The sequence below is a fragment of the Homo sapiens genome, chromosome 2, assembly GCF_000001405.40.
Source record: "Homo sapiens chromosome 2, GRCh38.p14 Primary Assembly".
NCBI lineage: Eukaryota > Metazoa > Chordata > Mammalia > Primates > Hominidae > Homo > Homo sapiens.
The window spans coordinates 105,891,232-105,897,231 of NC_000002.12; the positions used below are offsets into that span (position 1 = coordinate 105,891,232).

Here is a 6,000-nt window from a genome sequence, read left to right on the forward strand (position 1 = left end):
ATGCTCCTCTTTCATGCAACTCTTTTTTTTGTTTGTTTTCTTTTTTTTTTTCATAGAACTTACTGCCCTGTGCAGCCATCTGTACACCTCTATTTATCTGTTCCCCACACCAGATTGTCACAGAGCATATGTCCTGCATGCACACACATGTATCCAGGGCACCGCCTGCCTGGCATGTGTTAGTAACTAATTGTTATTCATTTAATGAATTGATCAAAACTTGATATTTTTGTACAAAGAACATTTATCGTTCAGTATCTTCTTTCCTGCATGCTTTTCAGCAAATGAGATAAAAGACCAATTTTTTTTTTTTTTTTTTTTTTTTTTTTTTTTTTTTGAGATTTTTCGCTCTTGTTGCCCAGACCAGAGTGCAGTGGCGTGATCTCAGCTTACAACTTCCACCTCCCAGGTTCAAGCGATTCTCCTGCCTCAGCCTCCCAAGTAGCTGGGATTACAGGCACACTACCACCATGCCTGGCTAATTTTGTATTTTTTAGCAGAGATGAGGTTTCACCATGTTGGCCAGGCTGGTCTCAAAGTCCTGACCACAGGTGATCCACCTGCCTTGGCCTCCCAAAGTGCTGAGATTACAGGCGTGAGCTACTGCACCTGGCCAATAAAAGACACATTTTAATTAAAATAATGACATGTTTCTAAAATATTCTGAAATAGAAGGCACATCACAGAATTTAAATATTTTTCAATAAAATCTGTAATCAAACCATAGTTCAGCTTCCTCTGGGATATTGTGAACTATGTTTAAAATGCGACCGGAATTTTCCACTGCTGTTCATATTTTTAAATGCTTAGAATTAGAAAAATTAGCCAGGCATGGTGGCACATCGGGAGGCTGAGGCAGGAGAATCTGCTTGAACCTGGGAGGCGCAGGTTGCAGTGAGCCAAGATCACACCATTGCACTCTAGCCTGGGCAACAAAAGCAAAACTGCGTCTCAAAAAAAAAAAGAATTAGAAAAATTTTGATGTCTTAATTTCTAATAGGGTTAGACATCAGAAGTAGTAAAATTTCTAGCTACTGCCTGCATGCAAACCACTCTTAATAAATTCCCAGTTTATCAAAAAATAGTTTGGGAAATGAAAAACAGCAAATTTCTTGAGCAGTCAGGGCAACACTGTATATTCCATAGTGAAGTGCTGTATATTCCATAATGAGTTTGCACTTTTCAAATAACTAAAACGCATTTAGCACTGAAACTGGGCTAAGCAGAATTTATTTTTTCTTTGGTTCAGAATTTCAGAATCGTGGACTACCTCCAGGTCTTTCTGAACATCAGATGCCGTTCTAGATATAAAACAGAGACCCGGCTGGGCGTGGTGGCTCATGCCTGTAATCCGAGCAATTTGGAAGGCTGAGGCTGGGAGGGGGGTGGGGATCACCTGAGGTCAGAAGTTCAAGACCAGCCTGGCCAACATGGCGAAACCCTGTCTCTACTAAAAATACAAATATTAGCCGGGCATGGTGGCAGGTTCCTGTAATCCCAGGTACTCGGGAGGCCGAGACAGGAGAATCGCTTGAACCCGTGAGGCGGAGGTTGCAGTGAGCCGAGATTGGGCCACTACACTACAGCCTGGGCAAAAGAGTGAAACTCCATCTCAAAAAAAAAAAAAAAAGCAGAGACCCAGTGTTTGAGCAATGGGTGGTTTGGATTTAGACGCACAAGAGATGTGGATGGATTTAGACACAGCTCCCCGCTGTGGCCCGGCTGTAACTGTGTTCTGTTTCCTCCCCAGCCCAGCGACTTCTCCGTGTCCCTTAAAGCGTCAGGGAAGAACAAACACTTCAAGGTGCAGCTCGTGGACAATGTCTACTGCATTGGGCAGCGGCGCTTCCACACCATGGACGAGCTGGTGGAACACTACAAAAAGGCGCCCATCTTCACCAGCGAGCACGGGGAGAAGCTCTACCTCGTCAGGGCCCTGCAGTGACGGCGCCCCGGCCCCACACTCGCCTCCCGGGCCCCACGGTGGAGCTGCCCGCCCGGCCTTGTGGCAGAGGCTCCTCCCGCGGGGACGGCCCCGACGGCTTCTCTGCGAGTCTCTCTTTATGTTCAGGTCGCTTGGTCGGTTCGTCTCCCATTTGCCATCCAGGCCTCACACCCACACTCGAGCCCACCCGGCCGGCCAGCTTTAGAGGAGGGGAGGAGCAGGGCGAGTTCACATTATTCCTTTTCCATCGGAAGTGGCGCTCGTGCATTCAACTCGTTCCCGCTCATGGAACCCCTCTTTAAAAAGACGCAGGGCACCTGTGAGCGCAGGAGCGAGCCTAAGGCCACCCAGCGGCAGCGCCCGTGTCCTGGGCACTCAGCGTGCTGGGCAGAGCAGGTGCGATGGCCCCAGTCCTAGCAGCCCTCGCCCATGTCCTGTGCCCTTACATGGCTCCCGGACTGTGCAGGGAGCCGATACGTTTGCTGATAGCAATACTGGAACCACCGGGTGCGATGGCAGTGAGGAGACTGCCCAGTGCCTTTGGGGCTGTGCTTGCAATAAAGAATTTCCTGGAAAGGCAGTCTGCAAAAGAGGGAACCGGTGACTCAGAAAGACAGATGTTTTGGTAATTTACCCCAAATGTGCCATCCACATAGTGCTTTTTCCTCTTGCCCTTCGGCTTGTTTGAATCTCACAATTATGTATTTAATTCTCAAAGAAATATGTATCTGTAGCCGTTTGTTGACACTAATACAGATGATTAAGGAAAACAGCTGATCTTTGGGGAAGGGAGCTACCAACACTTTATACACACACACACGTGCACACACACACACACACACACTATATATATATATATTATTTACAGGGAAATTTTTCAGGGTTTACAAAAGAGTATGTGATTGGTAGTAAGAGACACACAGAATGTTTATGAAGAAATTGCATTTTCTTTTTCCTTTACATTTGAACTTCTTTATAGTTTAAATATAACGTCTTGAGATGGCACATTCCTACGATTGAAGAAGGGGTCTTGAGATCCCCTAAACTTGCATACCCAGTTTTTTGGATATTGTAATAAAAAAAAGTATTATGACAAGGCTCTGTGTGTATTTATCTTTGGGAAAACTCAGACTCAATCATGGGAGAGTAATTACTGAAGCATTCACTCATTGCGGAGTGGAAATCATTTTTAGAGAAGAGCTTAACATTTATTACTTGTGTGTTTTCATTTTCTACCCCCACATTTTTGTATATTGAAATAATGAGTTTTAATTAGTGAAACCCCAAGGGAACCCAGAATCTCAAGCTTGGTCTGAACTTTGCTCTTTGGAAAATATTTGTTTAGAAATATGTTGCTGAACTCTTGGCAGCCAGCGCTCTCACACCATGTGTCCCCCACGACTAACTCTCGATTTGTCCTCTTGATCGGGAGCATTTATATTGATGTGCCAGGCCCTGGGGGTGCAGAGTCACATGACTTGGCATTTGTGCCCTCCTAGGCCAATCACGTATCAAGCGCTCCCTCTGCACCATGCACTGCGCCCCCATTTGTTCCTCATCACAGCCCCATGAGGTGGGACCTGCTATCATCCCCATTTTATAGATGGGGAAAGTGAGGTCTACAGGCAGTGCACCCAACATGTGGCTGCTGCATGGTGGAGCCAGGATGCACAGCCAAGGATCTGCACTAGCGCTGGACCCTTCCAACCCCAGCGTAGGAAGGTGTTCGGGAGAAGCGAGGTGTTGCACACTTACTCTGCCATGCGAGTTCCCTGTGAGGAAATTGTATCTTTTTGCTGCTGCCTTAGATTACAATAAATTAGAACTCTGGTGTCTTGTACCTGAGGTTGGTGGCACCCAGTCATTGTGAATAGACATTCAGGTGAGGGAGATCATTACATGAGACAGAATACATCCAGGGAAAAACCAGTCCCTCCAGACTCTTTCGGGTCTCACTAATGAGAATGACATTTTGACCTGATGCTGGAATCCCACTAAATATTGAGTGCCTGGACAGCTGAATGACTTTGATGTACACATAGCAATTCAGGTATAGCCGAGCAACTAAAGGACCAAAGACAGATGTACATTTTGGCTTCAGGAACTTACTTAAGGCTCATAGTTGTAGGTGACAGTTATTTTCAGTCTTGTCACATGCTGGCTTGTGGGCGTCCTCTGTCTGCCTGCAGGAGGTCAAGATTAGTATTTTTATATTAAGGAACCGGCACCCCAGGATGTCAGATGGACCACTGGAGGGTGAATTGATAGTCCCGTGATGAGCCACTAGTCAGAGTGGGAGGTCCAGGCAGGGTCCCCACGTCGCTTGGAGTGTGGCCACTGATGCTCTGGCCAGGCGGGCCAATGCCATCAATCTTCCTGGACAGATCTTGTTTTGCTGTTCTGTTGCCTCTTTGCACAGACAGCAAGGGACAATAAAGGTTAGTCATTCTGCACTCAGGTAACTTTGCTCACTTGTTTGTATCTAAATATGCCTTTTAGGTAAACATCGTGCCATCCTGCTGGCACGTAACCACCAAGACCGTCACGTATGGTTTATGGCCCAGTGCCATTAAATGATGTTTCTTGTGAGCTACAACTGGCCAACTTTTTTCCCAAACTGCATCACAAATTAAAATCTTCTAGTCTTTATAATGGCTGAAACCAATGTTTCCAAATCATTTTCAGTGCTAGTTCAACTGTGTCTTGCTTTCTATGTGCTAACCAGTTTACAATCTACTTTTCTACAATTCCTACTGCTCAACACCAGAATACCAAAGTAATTTCTTAAGACCAAAGTTCAGAACTGAAAGGATAGAAAAGTTTGAAAGTATTATTTAAATCTTACATTTCAATAAACATGAGTCTGGTTTTGGCCTTTTCTTACTAGAATGCAGCACTGTTTATTGTTGGCATCTGTGTCATTGATGTGGTTATTTCGTTTCTAACGTCTTGCCACATGCTGGCTGCTCTCCTGAGGAGCGGCATTGCAGGCTTTGGTTACCTGTTTAAGCCAGGCACGATGGCAGTGCCTAGCTGTCCTTACCGGCCCTGGGACTTCAAGCAAATTACTCAGCATCTCTGAATGTGTTTGCTCCCGAGTCAAATGGGGCTGCCCTGTTGAGGGTGCTTGTGCAAGTGCTACCTAACAGTGACAGATGCCTTTGGGGGTGGCCTGCGTGTGTCAAGGGATCTACTCAACATTTTTCTCACTTGGAACTAACTCATTGGTGCCCTGTTAGCCAGGGGCTTCCTCAGGGCCCCCCTGAAGAGCCGACTGCCTCAGACCGTCAGTGTGATCCTTCCCTAGCAGTCTTAGGGCCAATGCACCCCTGCTTCTTAAAGCTTAAGACTCCTCGAGTGTTGAAGGGAGGTTGCTTCAACAAACTGTTGAGCTGTCTTTCTTAAATTAGAAGCCCAAACCAAAAGCCACACTCAGCCATACTCAGCACTGGCCTTCTTACCTGCAGTGGTTGGTGAATTCACATCCCTAAAAATGATCCTCTTCAGGGTAGGAAGTATCTTTGTTTTCTCCTTAGGGGTTGGGAGCAGGGTGGGATGGTGGGAAAAAGAAGTCCATTAAACCAACCAGTATTCCACAAATGTTGGGATGTTCCCCGCAGGCTTCAAGTAGATGAGAGTAGAACCCAAAGTCAGGTCTAAACCCCCTCATGAGAACCTCCCGCTGGAACATTCTCAGCCCAAGTGACACAGTGGCTATTGAGCATTGGGCAAAAGTTCAGTAAGCCAACTAGTGTCCAGAAAACCTGTGTTCCCCCCTACCCCCAGCAGATGGCATTCCCACTGCTGAGGAAGCCGGCCGTTCCTGAGTGTAGCCCATTGGACCTCCAGCCATTAGGAAATGTGCTCCTTCTTGTGCTGTTCCTCAGACTCTGATTTGCAGGGCAACAGGGCAGTCATCTTTTTTTTTTTTTTTATAACTTGTAAGTTCAGGGGGACATGTACAGGTTTGTTAGGTAGGTAAACTTGTGTCATAGGGATTTGTTGTACGGACTATTTTGTTCCCCAGGTACTAAGCCTACTACCAATTATTTTTT

At 46.2% G+C, this 6,000-nt stretch overlaps 1 protein-coding gene across 14 annotated transcripts in view; it reads left to right on the forward strand.

Moving 5' to 3' along the window:
- Positions 1 to 3,041, forward strand: part of NCK2 (NCK adaptor protein 2) — a 149,820-nt gene extending 146,779 nt beyond the window's left edge. For all 14 annotated transcript variants that reach the window (XM_017005105.2, XM_017005103.2, NM_003581.5 and 11 more), the window contains one exon: positions 1,751 to 3,041. In XM_017005105.2, the coding sequence (XP_016860594.1) occupies positions 1,751 to 1,945 (195 nt within the window). In that variant the 3' untranslated portion in view covers positions 1,946 to 3,041. The remainder of the gene's footprint in view (positions 1 to 1,750) is intronic.
- The last annotated feature ends 2,959 nt before the right edge of the window (positions 3,042 to 6,000 follow it).